Genomic DNA, 16,274 nt, shown 5'->3' on the forward strand with positions numbered 1-16,274 from the left:
GACCAGCCTGGTCAAAGTAGTGAAACACTGTCTCTACTAAAAATAGAAAAAATTAGCTGGGCATGGAGGCTCGGGCCTGTAATCTCAGCTACTCAGGAGGCTGAGGCACAAGAATCACTTGAACCCAAAAGGCGGAGGTTATAGTGAGCAGAGATCGTGCCACTGCACTCTAGCTTGGGCAACAGAATGACTCTGTCTCAACAGAATGAGACTCTGTCTCAAAAAAATAAAAATAAAATAAATGATCCCAAACTTCTACATTTTACGTATTTATTGTGAGACAGGTCTCCCTCTGTCACCCAGGCTGGAGTGCAGTGGTGCTTTCTGGGCTCACAGCAGCCTTGACCTCCCATGCTGAAGCGATCCTCCCACCTCTGCTGGAGTATAGGTGTGTGCCACCACGCCAGGCTGTTTGTTCTATTTTTTTTTGTAGAGATGGGGTCTCGCTATGTTGCCCAGACTGGTCTCAAACTCCTGGGCTCAAGTGATCTGCCCACCTTGGCCTCCCAGAGTGTCAGGATTTAACCCCCACACTCCACCGAGACTTTAAAACTCTGACTTCCATTCTTCTCTTTTTTTCTTTTTTAAGATGGAGTCTCGCTCTGTCGCTGAGGCTGGAGTGCGGTGGCACGATCTCAGCTTACTGCAACCTCCGCCTCCCAGGTTCAAGCGATTCTCCTGCCTCAGTTTCCCAAGTAGCTGGGACTACAGGAGCGCGCCACCACGCCCGGCTAATTTTTGTATTTTTAGTAGAGACGGGGTTTCACCTTGTTGGCCAGGCTGGTCTTGAACTCCTGATCTCATGTTCTGCCCTCCTCAGCCTCCCAAAGTGCTGGGATCACAACCGTGAGCCACCGCCCCCAGCCATGACTTCCATTCTTTACCATCCTTACTTCCTGAGCAGGCCATCCTTAACCTTTACACTTAAATAAACTCCTTTAAACTAAAATCTAACCTGTTTGACTATTGTAGATTGACAGGCTAATGAGAGTATGAACCTCCAAAGACTTCTGTGAGGGCTAGGTGCAGTCATATATGCAATGAACTCAAGTAAACAGCTGGCTGAGGAAACACCGGGACGCCTCCTCTGTGCTAAGCCCCATGCAGCATGCACACAGACACAGGCCCACCTCAGCCTCCCAAAGTGCTGGGGTTACAGGCGTGAGCCGCCTTTCCCAACCAATATTTTATATTTTTACACAAGTGACAGCATCCTATTCAGACTGCCCTATACTTTTTTTCCACTTAAAAGTATGTCTGGGCCAGACATAGTGTCTCACACCTGTAATCCCAGCATTTTGGGAGGCCGAGGCAGTGGATCGCCTGAGGTCAGGAGCTCGAGACCAGCCTGCTCAACATAGCGAAATCCCATCTCTACTAAAAATACAAAAATTAGCTGGGCACAGTGGTGTGTGCCGGTAATCCCAGCTACTCGGGAGGCTGAGACAGAATTGCTTGAACCTGGGAGGTGGAGGTTGTGGTGTGCCAAGATCGAGCCACTGCACTCCAGCTTGGGCGACAGAGCGAAATTCCAGCTCAAAAATAAATATATAAATAAACAAACAAACCAACTAAACCATCATTGCCCTCCCCAGCCCTCCCAGCCCAGAGACCCCCATCCCTTGTCAGCCATCCCCCCTTACCTTCTGGACAGGGACAAGTGTCCCTCATTTGGAAAAGAATTAAGGAGGGGTAACAGCAGACTAGGGAGGCCTGGGGTCCTCCACACGCCTGTGTGGGGTGACTTTGGCCCCCAGCAACAAGGCAGGCCTGAGGTCTGCAGAGGGAGGCAGCCCACTCCTCAGCCGGGGGCGTCTATCCTCCTCCTGGCCCCATCCCTCACCTGTGGGGGAGGCTAAGTGGGTGTCAGGGCCCTGTCAGAGGGTGAGCCACCCCCGGGGGTGCCCATCGGCCACCAGCCTCCCTTCAGTAGACACCCAGCCCAAGTGACAGCAGTGGCATGGCACTGCTGAGCACAGGGAGCCTCAAGGTCAGTGCCTGGCTCCTGGTATCCTCCGTGGTCCCCAGGACACCCCCACACAGAGGTCCCAGAACCCCCAAAGCTGGCACAAGAGCCCAGGAACACCCTGCCCAGCACCCTCCAGGTCCCTCTTTTAGGATCTGGGTGAGCTAAAGAAGCCAAAAGAAAGGCTGGGCGCGGTGGCTCACGCTTGTAATCCTAGCACTTTGGGAGGCCGAGGTGGGCGGATTGCCTGAGCTCAGGAGTTGGAGACCAGCCTGGGCAACACATTGAAACCCCATCTCTACTAAAATACAAAAAAAATTAGCCAGGTGTGGTGGCGTGCACCTGTAGTCCCAGCTACTCGGGAGCCTGAGGCAGGGGAATTGCTTGAACCCAGGAGGCAGAGGTTGCAGTGAGCTGAGATTGCATCACTGCACTCCAGCCCGGGTGACAGAGTGAGACTCCATCTCAAAAAAAGAAAAAAAAAAAAAAAAAAAAAAAAAAAAGAAGCCAAAAGAGGGTCTTCGGCCCAGCCCGCCCCTCCCCAACAGCCCTGGGTGTGGCAGGGAGCCTGACCAGTTCCCTCCAGCCTGCGTCATGGAGCCCTGGGCGTGGCTGCAGGGTTTAAAGAGCCGACCCACGTGCCCAGCAGCCTCCTCAGATCCGTTCTCTGCGCTGCCAGCTCAGGTGAGCCCTCGCCAAGGTGACCTCGCAGGTGAGCAGGCGTCCACTTTGGGGCTGCTGGGTGAAGGGGGTGGGTGCCCAAGAATTCTGAGTAATGAGGAGCCTGTTGAGGGGTCTGAGGACAGATATGGCTGCAGCAGCCGCTTGAAGGCCTCCTGCTTTGCACCCACTATCATATGGATGGTGGGTTGGGGGTTGGAGGAAACAGAAGCCAGCCCTTGGCTAAAGAATATATGAGCTGGTGGGGTATACCTCTGGTCCCAACTGCTTGAGATACTCAGGTGAGGAGATCACCTGAGCCAAGAGAGTTCAAGGCTGCAGTGAGCCGAGATCACGCCACTGCTCTCCATCCTGGGTAACAGAGCAAGACCCTGTCTCAAAAAAAAAAAAAATAGTAATAATAATAATAATAAAATAAAAAATGTGACCTAGAGTTGAGACCCTCGTATTCCAGGAACTCCAGGTTGGTGAAGGTAGAGAGACCAGTGAAGGCTGGGGGAAGCCAGCTTTGGAGACTGCTCCTAGCCCAAGAACCGATGTTCAGAAGCAGTGCCTAACAGTCTCTCCCTCCAGTGCCTCCCTCCCACTGCAGAAGGACCATGTGTTTATTTATGGATGTATTTATTTATTTATTTTGAGATGGAGTCTCCCTCTGTTGCCCAGGCTGGAGTGCAGTGCCAGGATCTCGGCTCACTGCAACCTCCACCTTCCAGGTTTAAGTGATTCTCCTGCCTCAGCTTCCCAAGTAGCTGGGAATACAGGCGCCTGTCACCACACTCAGCTAATTTTTGTATTTTTAGTATAGATGGGGTTTTGCCATGTTGGCCAGGCTGATCTTGAACTCCTGACCTCAGGTGATCCACCCGCCTCAGCCTCCCAAAGTGCTGGGATTATAGGTGTGAGCCACTGCGCCCGGCCTATGGATGTATTTATTGTAACAGGTTTTTAGTGCTTACTGTGTGCTAGGCATAGTTCTTAGGCTTGACAAATAGTAGTTCACGTAATTCCATCGCTATAACCTTATGAGGTTGCTACTATTCTGATGATCCTCCTTTTACAGGACACTGGTGAAGGAGCAGTGAGGAACCTGCAGAGTCACACAGTTGGTAAGTTGCTAAGAAGGGACCCAGCCCAGACAGCTGGCCCTGGATCTGTGATCTCATCAGGAGGCCAGAGCTGGGTACAGCAGATGATGACAATGGCTTCAGTATTGAAAACTTGACCACACTAGGCTAACAATATGCAGAGGGCTGGGAGGGGGCCTGCGCTCAAAGACTCAGCCTCCCTAAGGACAAGTAAATGGGGTCCTGGCTACTTCCAACCTGAGGGGGAAATGTCATACCACAGGAGGTCTATACTCTGAGAGCAGAATCTGGGTCTGCTGGAGTAGGGTCCCCTGCCAGGGCTGGCAGGGGAGGTCCTGGCTGCTGCAGTCATCTCATCCCAGGACTCAGCACTCCCTCCCTCCTCCACACCCTTGCTTTTGTGGAGGCTCTCTGGGAATTCAGACTGAGGGTGCTGGACTCTGGCCACCCCAGGCCCAGACCTTTGGGAACAATAGCCTGGGGCCTGATAACAATGCCCTTTGTGTGGGGTTAGGAAGGCAGGCTCCAGACCCTGACTTAGAATAGCAGCCACCTGACCCTGGGCATCTGATTACACCTCTCTAAGCTCCATTTTTTTTTTTCTTCTCTGAAATAGAGACAATAATAGTATCTTCCTCATGGGGAGGAGTAGGGGGTGGGTTTGTCGCATGGATTTTAACAACGCCTTCTACAGCACTTACTCTGTGCAGGCACAGTTTTGAGCTCTTAGCTTGTGCTTACTCAATCCACACAACTCCCCCAGGCCACCACCATCTCTAGATGGGAAGACAGAAAGTAGTTACTTTCCCAAGATCTCCCCACAAGCAAGTGTATCCTTGGGGTTTGTACACCTACTTTCACCATGGGGCTCTGCCTGCCCCCGCCCCTGCCTCCTCTCGCTGACCAATTGAGCTGTGAGCCTGGAGCAGATCCGTGGGCTGCAGACCCCCGCCCCAGTGCCTCTCCCCCTGCAGCCCTGCCCCTCGAACTGTGACATGGAGAGAGTGACCCTGGCCCTTCTCCTACTGGCAGGTGAGTCCTCCCAGTCTCCTGGGACCCTCTTGCATTCACCCCACCCACAAAGGCAGCAAAAGCCAGACAACATCTCCTTTGGGAGTCTGGTGTTCAATCAGCATGCTTTATTTAAACTGCCAATTTAGAGAGAAACATGAAGGAAATGACAGTACAGGTAGGATGAGAATATTGCAAAAAGGTCCTAATAGCTCCAGAGGAATTGAACCATGGAAAACATTAACCACCTGTGGCTTGAAGACAAAAGCAGGGTGGCACAGCGGCTCAGGCCTGTAATCCCAGTGTTTTGGGAGGCCAAGGTGGGAGGATCACTTGAGCCTGGGAGGATCACTTGAGCCTGGGAGGTCGAGGTTGCAGTGAGCTAGGATTGCACCATTGCACTCCAGCCTGGGTGACAGAGAGAGGTTCCGACTCATAAAAAAGACAAGCATTCCCTGTTTCTTCAGGGGGCAGAGACATAACAAACCATCCCAGTCAGCATGCACACAGGAGCATCAGGAAGCCTGGGACAGCAGGGCTTGGGCGGGGCCACACCCTGAGGCTGTGTGGGGCTGGGGAGGGCGTGAGGAAGGGAACTGGTGGCTCCAGGGTCACCCCACAACCTCCGGGCTGGGGTCCTGCTGTCTGGCTTACTTGGACACCAGTGTCATGAATTCCCACACATTTTCTCTGCTCCTCCCACACAGGCCTGACTGCCTTGGAAGCCAATGACCCATTTGGTGAGTGAGGCCCCCAAACAGCCTGCCCACTCTGCCCACATCTCCCCTCTGACACCCACATCCTGTCTCCTGGTTCTGGTTCTGAAGTCTTTTTGCCCCACTTTTTCTAGCCAATAAAGACGATCCCTTCTACTATGGTAAGAGCTGATATTCCCACCCCCACCCTACCCTTGCCTATCCTGGACCTCTTTGCTAGACAAGTTGGTGAGGGGTAGTGTGGACCTAGTGTAGACAAAGTGGGATGGGGGATTAAACCTGGTCTCTGTGAGAGCGTCGCTCCAACAAGGGGAGGGTGGCCACAGGATGCTTAGGAACCCTCCTGGAGAAGGGCTGGTGCCTGGGTGGTTAGGCACCCCGATAAATCACCCCTACCCTCTTGCCTTCACTCACCCTCACCCTCCCTTTCCCTAGTCCCCAGCCCTCAGGCAGTCCTCCTCTCCTCCTCTCCCCTGGGCCTCAGCTCCAGGACAGCTTTCCTTGATCATCCTTCAAAGCCCTTTCTTTGCGCATGTCCACTTCTTTTTTTTTTTTTTTTTTTTTTTGAGACAGATTCTGACTCTGTCGCCTAGGCTGGAGTACAGTGGCATGATCTCGGGTCACTGCAACCTCCATCTCCCGGGTTCAAGCAATTCTCCTGTCTCAGCCTCTCGAGTAGCTGGGACTACAGGCGCCTGCCGCCACGCCTAGCTAATTTTTGTATTTTTAGTAGAGATGGGGTTTCACCATATTGGTCATGCTGGTCTCGAACTTCTGACCTCAGGTGATCTGCCCGCCTCGGCCTCCCAAAGTGATGGGATTACAGATGTGAGCCACCGCACCCAGCCTCACTTTTTTTCTTCTTAGTGTTTCCCCACGAGACGCAGAATGATGCCTCTGTTGCTGGCTTGTCTTTATGTATATGGCAGCGGCTGGCACAAGCAGGGGCTCAGGAGTGTCTTTTGAATGAATGACTGAGGCCCCAGGCTGGTGCAAGCTCACTCTCTGTACCCACCCCAGACTGGAAAAACCTGCAGCTGAGCGGACTGATCTGCGGAGGGCTCCTGGCCATTGCTGGGATCGCGGCAGTTCTGAGTGAGTGGCAGGACAGGTGGGGCTGGAGGACAGGGTGGGGCTGGCGGACAGGGTGGGGCAGAAAGAGAGAGTGCTCTCATTCCAGCACTGACCCTGGCGCTGACCCCTCTCTCTCTCCCAGGTGGCAAATGCAAATGCAAGAGCAGCCAGAAGCAGCACAGGTGAGCCTGACCCTATGGTGCCCTCCTCCTTCGGGGCAGAACTACGGGGGGACAGTCCTGACCTGGAGAGTGGACAGCATCCTGGCCACTCGCTGGGCTTGCAGCTGGCTTTGTTATTCAGATAGTCAACCCTGAAGGGCCCCAGTCAGGAAAGCTCTGACCTCGGTATTGTGGGAAGTGACCATGGAAGGAGAGCAAGGACTTGCACTCCTGGGGCCGGGCAGCAAGAGTCTGGGATATAGGGGAGAAGGTCCTCCAGGCTAACCTGATACTACTCTGATGTGGTCCTTTCTCTAGTCCTGTACCTGAGAAGGCCATCCCACTCATCACTCCAGGTGAGACGGGCTTCTGTGGGCTGAGGGGGTGTCTGTGTAAGGACTGTGTCTGATGGCCTGCCCGCCACTCTCCGCAGGCTCTGCCACTACTTGCTGAGCACAGGACTGGCCTCCAGGGATGGCCTGAAGCCTAACACTGGCCCCCAGCACCTCCTCCCCTGGGAGGCCTTATCCTCAAGGAAGGACTTCTCTCCAAGGGCAGGCTGTTAGGCCCCTTTCTGATCAGGAGGCTTCTTTATGAATTAAACTCGCCCCACCACCCCCTCCTCGGTAGTCTTGTGATCCATCGTCTTTGGGTCTGGGGGTGGGTAATCCCTTGGATTGCTGACTTTCCCTGGATGCCCACTCCCAGCAAGCTTCCCAGTCCCTGAGTCCCTGCCGCCCAACTGTCTCCTATGGCTCCCACTCCAGCAAGCCCCACAGAGAGACCCATGCACTGTGAGATACCACAGTGTTATAACAGAAGACCTTTCCATTTCCACCACTTGCACGGGGGCCCTAGAAGTCCTGATGCCTCAGGTACCCATGACTTCCTTTAATCTAGAGCGACCCCCAGGGCTCACCCCCCCATTGAGACCTCAATTGAGACCCCCCATTGAGACCTCACCCAGTGAATGCTCTCTATGGTAGAAAATGTAGCAATTCCTTTGACCCATCCCAGTAAAATCCTCAGCTCACCCCATGGGCCCCCCTCCTCCCAGGAAATATCCTGTGAAATTCCATGAAGAAGTATGTCTCGAGAAGCCCTGCATAGTGCATGTGGGAGACAAACACCATGTGTGCAAATCCAAGTTCTTTGGCATGCCTGAACTCCCCTCCAGGAAGACTTCCCTGGCAATGTCCCTGTGGCACCCCAGGCAGGGGTGTGAAGTGCCACTTCTGCCTGGTGCCCATCCTGCAGTCCTGCCCCTTGACAGCCCAGGAGAAGGAACTGAGACCACTTCTAGCCTCTGCCTCCAGCAAAGGCCAGAGAACAATGGAGTCCCCGCCAGGTGGCAGCTCCCAATCTGAGGCCAGGGCTTGGGCTGGGCAGCTGTCTCCAATGATGCACCCTTCCTCCATGTCTCAGGGTGGGCCACATCCTTGAGAAGTATGATGTATCCTAGACTTAGGGTCACCTGCCTTGTGGGTGGGGTCAGAGACTTGTGCAGGGCCCCAGAGGTGTAAAAATGAGGTCCACATGTCTTCCAGGGCCTTTGAAACAGGACACGTAGGGACTGAGAGCAAGGTTCCAAGGTGGGGCTGAGTGGGACTAAAGATACCTGGCTGAGTCCAGCCACTATCAGGGAATCTTGGGTGGGTCACAGAAGGCCTGGCAAGCCCCAGTGCTTTGGGGAAGCTGTCCTGTACCAGCAGCCCCAGGTGGTATGGCCAGCCCAGAGGCAGCGCTGAGTCTGCACAGGTGGACCTAGGGAGGGGCCTGTGCGCAAACCACCCTGGTGGAGGGAATTAGCAGCACGACTGGAATGCAGGCGATAGGATCACTGAGGAGGCAAGGCCCAGCCCTGCAGGACGCAGAGGCAGGGGTGGGAGCCACCCAGCAGGGCTGGTAGAAGGGGGCTCCTGAGCACGCCTCCTCATCCAGGGGGTGCAGTGCAGAGCTCTCTCCTCGTTGGCACGGGAAGACGCTGGTGTGAGAGACTGCTTTTGAGAACATGAAAAGTGCGGTAAGAAAGCCAAGTCTGGAGTGGCAGACCCAGGGGAAGCCACACAAAGGTGACCGGAAGCAGTGCATGCTTTCTGACTGAGGAACCCAGGGCCACGCAGTCACGACTATCAGGAGCTCTGCTGTTTGAAATCCTAGCAAACCCTGTCCTTGCATGGTGGCCCCATGACCCTGACAAGAGATGCAGCCTCAACTTCCAACCCCAGTGCCCCACTGGGGAGCAGAGGTTTCTGGACGTGACAGCCACCCACCTCCACCTTCACATGTATCCTGGGGCCACGTCGTGGTGGAGACCTGCCGCTCTTCTTTCAAGCTCTCATGCTGCTTCATTTAAACTTCTCCTGGACAGGTGTCACAGTTCCCCCAAGTCCTATAAGTGACCACTTATGTAGGAGGCCCCACCACACGAGTCCCTAGGTGTGACTGTCCAGTGACAGGCTTATCTCTCTGATGTGGAGGGTGACGGCTCTCGCTCATGGAACCTGGGAAAATCATGGTGGGAGGAGTCAGAAACTGATGGGAGGCCAGGTCTGGATGACAGTGGAGGATGGAGTCAGTGTTAGCCCCAGATGGACAAGGCCAGGCCCTGGAGTTGGGACCCTGGTTCCCAGGGGAAACGAGCTCTCCTCTCTCCCTTCTGGGAGTGAGGAATGGGCTGACTAGGGCATGACAGAGGCTCTCCAGGCTTCCCTTTGTGGGATTACTGGCTGTGCGTCAGAGACCCCTTCCTGGGGCCTGTTTCAGAGCTGGTGGGTGATTTCCCCTTGTCATCCTCTCCTAGTTGAGGGGCTGTGGGGAGAGGTAGGGGGGACCAGAGAAAGCAAAGTGTCATTTCCACTCAATTGGGGATTTACTGAGTGACAGACACCACTGTAAACACTTCACACATGTCAAATTTTCCTAGCAACCTATGTGATGCGGATGACATTAGGGTTAGGGTTAGGTTAGAGGAGAGGAGGCACCCAGAGGTTCTCATGGGCTAACGAATTCCACAGCCAGCCTCCAACCCTGGTGTCCTGCTCCTGAGCCCTGTTTCCAAAGGACTGGGGCCTGTTGCCTTCCCGATGTTTATCATTGTCAAAGACAGAGCCCAGGGACTGTGCTGCTGGGTGACTATACATCCTTCCTCACTTTTTTATTTTAAAAATCTTTTATTTTTCAGGGCTGGGTTCAGTGGCTCACGCCTGTAATCCCAGCACTTTGGGAGGCCGAGGTGGGAGGATCATTTTGAGGTCCAGAGTTCAGGAGCAGCCTGGCCAACATGGTGAAACCCTGTCACTACTAAAAATACAAAAATTGGCCGGGTGCAGTGGCTCATGCCTGTAATCCTAGCTACTCAGGAGGCTAAGGTGGGAGGATCACTTGAACCCAGGATGTGGAGGTTGCAGTGAGCCGAGATCGCACCACTGCACTCCAGCCTGGGTGACAGACCGAGACTCTGTCTCCAAAAAAAAAAAAAAAGAAAGAAAGAAAACAAACATCACAGAGACATTTACTCACAAAGTAAACCAACTTCTAACCTAGCACCCCAAAATAATCAAGTTTAAAAGTTTGCAAAAAAAAAAAAATTGTTCTCTAGTCTTTCAGATCATCTTTTCCCTCTTGTACCTGGGAGTTGGCCTTGTGAGTTTGGAATCAGAACTCAGGCTATTGCCAGGCACAGTGGCTCAAGCCTGTAATCCAAGCACTTTGGGAGGCTGAGGCGGGCAGATCACCTGAGGTCGGGACCAGCCTGACCAACATGGTGAAACCCCGTGTCTAGTAAAAATAGAAAATTAGCTGGGCGTGGTGGCACATGTCTGTAATCCCAGCTACTCAGGAGGCTGAGGCAGGAGAATTGCTTGAATCCGGGAGGCGGAGGTTGCAATGAGCTGAGATCGTGCCATTGCACTCCAGCCTGGCAACAGAGTGAGACTCGGTCTCAAAAAAAAAAAAAAAAAGGTATTGTTTCAGAACCCAAAGGTGAGGACTAGAGAAAGGACTTATTATTCTGATTTAAAATAATACTTTTTTTTTTTTTTTTTTTTGAGACAAAGTCTGGCTCTGTCGCCCAGGCTGGGGTGCAGTGATGCAATCTCATCTCACTGCAACCTCTGCTTCAGCCTCCCAAGTAGCTGGAACTACAGGCACATGCCACCACACCCGGCTATATTTTTTGTAGAGATGAAGTCTCGTCATGTTGCCCAGGCTAGTCTCAAACTCCTGAGCTTAAGCCTCCCAAAGTGCTAGGAATACAGGCGTGAGCCATGGCACCCAGCTCTCTTTTTTTAATTTCTGTATTTTTTTTATTTTCTTCTTTTTTTTCTTAAAACTGGGTCTCACTCTCTCACCCAGGCTGGAGTGCAGTAGCATGATTACAGCTCATGGCAGCCTCAACCTCCCAGGCTAAAGCAATCTTCCCACTTCAGCCTCCAGATTAGGTAGGACCACAGGCGCGTGTCACTATGCCCAGCAAATTTTTTCTTTTGAGATGGAGTTTCGCTCTTGTTGCCCAGGCTGGAGTGCAATGGCATGATCTCGGCTCACCACAACCTCTGCCCCCTGGGTTCAAGTGATTCTCCTACCTCAGCCTCCTGATTAGCTGGGATTACAGGCATGTGCCACCATGCCTGGCTAATTTTGTTTTTTTTTTTTAGTAGAGACGGGGTTTTTCCATGTTGGTCAGGCTGGTCTCGAACTCCCAGCCTCAGGTGATCCACCCACCTCAGCCTCCCAAAGTGCTGGGATTACAGGCAAGAGCCACTGCACCTGGCCCAGCTAATTTTTTTTATGTAGAGATGGGCTCTCACTGTGTTGCCTAGGCTGGTCTGGAACTCCTGCGTTCAAGCAATCCTCCCACCTCAGCCTCCCAAAATGCTGGGACTACAGGCGTGAGCCACAGCACCTGGCCTGCATCTTTTTTCTCAACTAAAACAAAACAAACTAAAACAAAACTAAAACAACTAAAACAAAACAAACTAAAACAAAACAAACTAAAACAACTAAAACAAAACAAACTAAAACAAAACAAAACAAAAAAACCTTACATTTAAGATAATTGTAGATTCACATGCAATTGTAAAAAATAATGGGGAGAGATAAGCCAGTTTCCCCCAGTGGCAACTTCTTGCATAGCTATAGTACACTATATCACAGCAGAATATTGAAACTGCTAGAAGCATTGGCCTTACTGAGATTTCACCAGTGTTACATCACTCATTTGTGTGTGTATGTACGTTTAGTTCTGTGCAACTTTATCACCTGTGATGCCTGTGACCACCACAGTCAAGATCTGGACCAGTTCATTACCAGGATCCCTCATGCTCCTCTTTTATAGCCAAACCCATTTCCCTCCCTACTTAGGCCCCCTAGGCCTAACCTCTGGCAACCACTAAACTGTCCTCTATCTCTATAGTTTTGTTATTTCGAGAATGTTAGGACCGGGCACGGTGGCTCACACCTGTAATCCCAAAACTTTGGGAAGCCGAGGCAGGTGGATCATCTAAGGTTAGGGGTTCGAGACCAGCCTGACCAACATGGTGAAACCCTGTCTCTACTAAAAATACAAAATTAGCCAGGTGTGATGGCAGGCGCCTATAATCCCAGCTACTCGGGAGGCTGAAGCAGATGAATCACTTAAACCCAAGAGGAAGAGGTGCACTGCATTCCAACCTGGGCAATAGAGTGAGACTCCGTCTCAAAAAAAAGAAAAAAAAAGTGTTAGGCTGGGTGTGGTGGTGCATGCCTGTAGTCCCAGCTACTTAGGATGAGGCAGTTGGATCACTTGAGAGTTTGAGGCTGCAGTGAGCCGTGATCGCGATCATGCCACTGCACTCGAGCCTGGGTGACAGAGCAAGGCCCAGTCTCAAAAAAAAAAAAAAAAAAAAAAAGAGAGAGCTATCATCTCACCACTGCTCTTTAGCTCTTTAGCATGGGCAACAGAGTAAGATTCCTTTTTTTTTTTTTTTTTTTTTTAGAGACGGAGTCTCGCTCTGTCACCAGGCTGGAGTGCAGTGGCATGATCTCGGCTCACTGCACCCTCCGCCTCCTGGGTTCAAGAATTCTCCTGCCTCAGCCTCCTGAGTAGCTAGGACTACAGGCGTGTGCCCCCACGCCCAGCTAATTTTTGTAATTTTAGTAGAGATGGGATTTCACCATGTTGGCCAGGATGGTCTGGAACTCCTGACCTCAGGTGATCCGCCCGCCTCGTCCTCCCAAAGTGCTGAGATTATAGGTGTGAACCACCGCGCCCAGCCCAATTCTTTTAAAAAAACAAAAACTGATAATAAAACTGAGATGCCTTGAGACTTGATGCATCTGTCAGCACCCAAATCATGAGGGTGGTCTTAGTGCAGGTGACTTATCTCCCATACTGCTAAGTACTTGGGGGCAGCTTCTTGAAAGGTAACTAGGCTGGGCATGGTGGCTCATGCCTGTAATCTCAGCACTTTGGGAGGCTGAGGTGGGCAGATAGCCTGAGGTCAGGAGTTTGAGACCAGCCTGGCCAACATGGTGAAACCCTGTCTCTACTAAAAATATGAAAATTAGCCAGGTGTGGTGGTGGGTGCCTGTAATCCCAGCTACTTGGGAGGCGGAGACAGAAGAATCGCTTGAACCTGGGAGACGGAGATTACGGTGAGCTGAGATCGCGCCACTGCACTCCAGCCTGGGCAACAGAACGAGACTCCGTCTCAAAAAAAAAAAAAGAAAGAAAAAGAAAAGAAAGGTAACTAGCCCTCTCCTGCAGAAAACGTGGCCTTGATTCAGAACACTCAGAGTTTCAGGGTTTGGCCTGAGTGTTTACTGAGACTTATCAGAGGTGCCACATGAAATCATTTAGGAACACAGGTACCTCTTTGATGGGGCCTATGCTGTCATTTGTAGCAGATGGCAGAGGAGCTGGTGGAGTCCTTGCATCCTTCTGGTCACCTGATAATTAGCAGGAGTAGTATTTCCTTTTTTTTTTTGAGACAGGGTCTCACTGTCATCCAGGCTGAGGTGCAGTGGTGCAATCTTGGCTCACTGCAACCTCCGCCACCTGGGCTCAAGCGATCCTCCCACCTCAGCCTCCCAAGTAGCTGGCCTACAGGTGTGAGCCACCATGCCCGAGTAATTTTTGTATTTTTTGTAGAGTCGAGTGTCTTGCCATGTTGCCCAAGCTGCTCAAACTCCTCAGCTTGGCCGGGCACACTGGCTCACACCTGTAATCCCAGCACTTTGGGAGGCCGAGGTGGGTGGATCACCTGAGGTCCAGAGTTCAAGACCACCCTGGCCAACATGGTAAAACCCCATCTCTACTAAAAATACAAAAATTATCTGGGCGTGGTGACACCCACCTGTAATCCCAGCTACTCAGGAAGCTGAGGCAGAATCGCTTGAACTGGGGAGGTGGAGGTTGCAATGAGCCGAGATCGCACCACCGCACTCTAGCCTGGGTGAGTGAGACTCCGTCTTTAAAAAAAAACAAAAAAAAACAACTCCTCAGCTCAAGCAGTCCACCTGCCTCAGCCTCCCAAAGTGCTGGCATTACAGGTGTGAGCCACTGCGCCAGGCCTCAGGGTATTTTCAAGGGTCAAAGCAGCTTTCTCCAAAATCCAAAAACTACTACCCAAAATTATGCCTCTTTCAACACCCGGCATTTTTAGTGACTCAAGGGATGAAAATTCTTATCAGGCCCTTACTTGCTTACACATTAACCACTCGCTTTTTGCCCAGTATTCCTTGTTCCCATAATGAAATTATGAACTGCTGAAATACTGTTCCTTGTGAAGGAGGGGATAACTTCAGGGCCATAAAAAAATTTTGCAGAAGTAATGAATGTCTTTAAACACACTGCGACCAGCTGCAGACACCCAGAAGTCTGGTTATTCAAGACACTATGTGAGACTAAAGAAACACAGACTTTTCCCCCCTCGGTTCTCTGAAACTGCCCCTCCCTTAGTCTCTAGCTGTGTAAAAACTCCCCATGCCTGGCATGGTGGCTTATGCCTATAATCCCAGCACTTTGGAAGGCCGAGGCTGTAGTGTACTATGTCGATTGGGTATCTGCAGCAAGTTCGGCCTCGCTATGACCTCCCAGGAGTGGAGGACCACCACGTTGCCTAAGGAGGGGTGAACTGGCCCAGGTTGAAAACGGAGGTCAAAACTTCCATGCTGAGGCTGTGCGCGGTGGCTCACGCTTATAACCCCAGCACTTTGAGACTCTCTCAAAGTCACTGCACTCCAGCCTGGGTGATATAGGGAGACCCCCATCTCTAAAAAAACAAAACAAACAAAAAAACTCCACGCTGCTTCTTTTTGTTAAGGCAGATTTCTCACCTTGGCCAAATCAAATAAACCTTTATCTCCAAGCACCTTTGTCTTGGTGTTTGGCATCAGCTACACATCAGGTACGCAAGCCTGAATTTGGGGTTCTACAACATAACAAGATGCAGTATCTTGACTTTTACCTTGCAGGGAATGCCCTAGTCATGCCCAAGGCCACAGGTTGAAAAACATTTCCTGTAGTGTCAGTAAATATTTTAGGTTTTGTGGGCCATGTGGTCTCTGATACAACTACCCATCTCTCTGCCTGCTGTAGTACCTGGGCAGCCATGGACAGTATTAACAAATGGGCACGGCTGTGTGTAGCAACAAATGGGCATGGCTGGGTGCCATGGTGCATGCCTGAAATCTTAGAACTTTGGGAGGCTGAAGAATACAGATCACTTGAGCTGAGGAGTTCAAGACCAGTCTGGGCAACATAGTGAGACCCCATCTCTACAAAAAATACAGAAATCAGCCGGGCATAGCGGTGTGCGCCTCCAGTCCCAGCTACTTGAGAGGCTGAGGTGGGAGGATAACTTGAGCACGGGAGGCTGACACTGCAGTGAGCCAATATCATGCCACTAGACTCCAGCCTGGGCATCAGAGAGAGACTTGTCCCTCCCCAACAAAAGTTAACAATCCTGGAGCAAGGGGATGTTTTGCTGTCCATGTTATGTTGTTACCTTGGGATGTCAGGTCATCTAACACATTCCCTTTCCCATCCCCTGGAGCCCTTTCCACCCATGCATCCTAAATCTAGCATAGACTTCCAGGGTTGTGAAGGTACTCTTTGAATCTCCACCACTCTACGAAATCTGAGGTCTCATCTTCATGGCATTCCAGCCCCATTTCCAGCGGAAACTCCACCTGTTTCTGTGGGTCTCCCTCACCTACAGGCCTCTCCTTCCCCATGCAGTGCTGACACTTGAAGCATGGTAGGCCCATGGGTGGGCAGAGATCCCAGATCAGGGTTACAGCAAGGACAGTTCTCCCTAGGTTTCCCCCATGCCAGTCTTCCGAGTGCCTCTTTCTGCGTCCCTGTACCCTGCCATTCCTGGTGATGCTGCTGCCCTCACATCAGGCCATCCAAGCATGCAGAACATAAGCATGCAGAACACTGGAACGAAGGGCTGTACCTAAGGTGAGCCTCTGAAGCCCAATGAGGCTAGAAAAGGCTGAAGACTTCACAGACCTAATTTTTAATGCAGCTCTCAGGGGTTTTACCAAGAGCATTTATTTACTCTTTAAGATACTAATGAAGACCCTTAATATT

The 16,274-nt window shown here is 51.7% G+C and overlaps 1 protein-coding gene across 1 annotated transcript, besides 4 other annotated features; it reads left to right on the plus strand.

The window, feature by feature from the left end:
* Nucleotides 1–2,616: 2,616 nt before the first annotated feature.
* FXYD4 (FXYD domain containing ion transport regulator 4) lies at nucleotides 2,617–7,316 on the plus strand. Its single transcript, NM_173160.3, has 9 exons — nucleotides 2,617–2,678; nucleotides 3,708–3,753; nucleotides 4,496–4,764; nucleotides 5,451–5,483; nucleotides 5,594–5,620; nucleotides 6,480–6,554; nucleotides 6,676–6,715; nucleotides 7,013–7,050; nucleotides 7,128–7,316. The coding sequence occupies exons 3-9, from the start codon at nucleotides 4,728–4,730 to the stop codon at nucleotides 7,145–7,147; spliced, it is 270 nt and encodes an 89-aa protein (NP_775183.1). The 5' UTR covers nucleotides 2,617–2,678; nucleotides 3,708–3,753; nucleotides 4,496–4,727; the 3' UTR covers nucleotides 7,148–7,316.
* Nucleotides 11,782–11,831: a silencer, noted in NCBI's record as "silent region_2326". NCBI's record gives its function as "represses an Ori minimal core promoter by ATAC-STARR-seq in GM12878 lymphoblastoid cells {active_cell/tissue: GM12878}" and the evidence as "EXISTENCE:reporter gene assay evidence [ECO:0000049][PMID:35858748]".
* Nucleotides 15,591–15,740: an enhancer, noted in NCBI's record as "active region_3290". NCBI's record gives its function as "activates an Ori minimal core promoter by ATAC-STARR-seq in GM12878 lymphoblastoid cells {active_cell/tissue: GM12878}" and the evidence as "EXISTENCE:reporter gene assay evidence [ECO:0000049][PMID:35858748]".
* Nucleotides 15,761–15,840: an enhancer, noted in NCBI's record as "active region_3291". NCBI's record gives its function as "activates an Ori minimal core promoter by ATAC-STARR-seq in GM12878 lymphoblastoid cells {active_cell/tissue: GM12878}" and the evidence as "EXISTENCE:reporter gene assay evidence [ECO:0000049][PMID:35858748]".
* Nucleotides 15,891–15,970: an enhancer, noted in NCBI's record as "active region_3292". NCBI's record gives its function as "activates an Ori minimal core promoter by ATAC-STARR-seq in GM12878 lymphoblastoid cells {active_cell/tissue: GM12878}" and the evidence as "EXISTENCE:reporter gene assay evidence [ECO:0000049][PMID:35858748]".

This window comes from Homo sapiens, chromosome 10 (assembly GCF_000001405.40).
Source record: "Homo sapiens chromosome 10, GRCh38.p14 Primary Assembly".
Classification (NCBI taxonomy): Eukaryota; Metazoa; Chordata; class Mammalia; order Primates; family Hominidae; genus Homo; species Homo sapiens.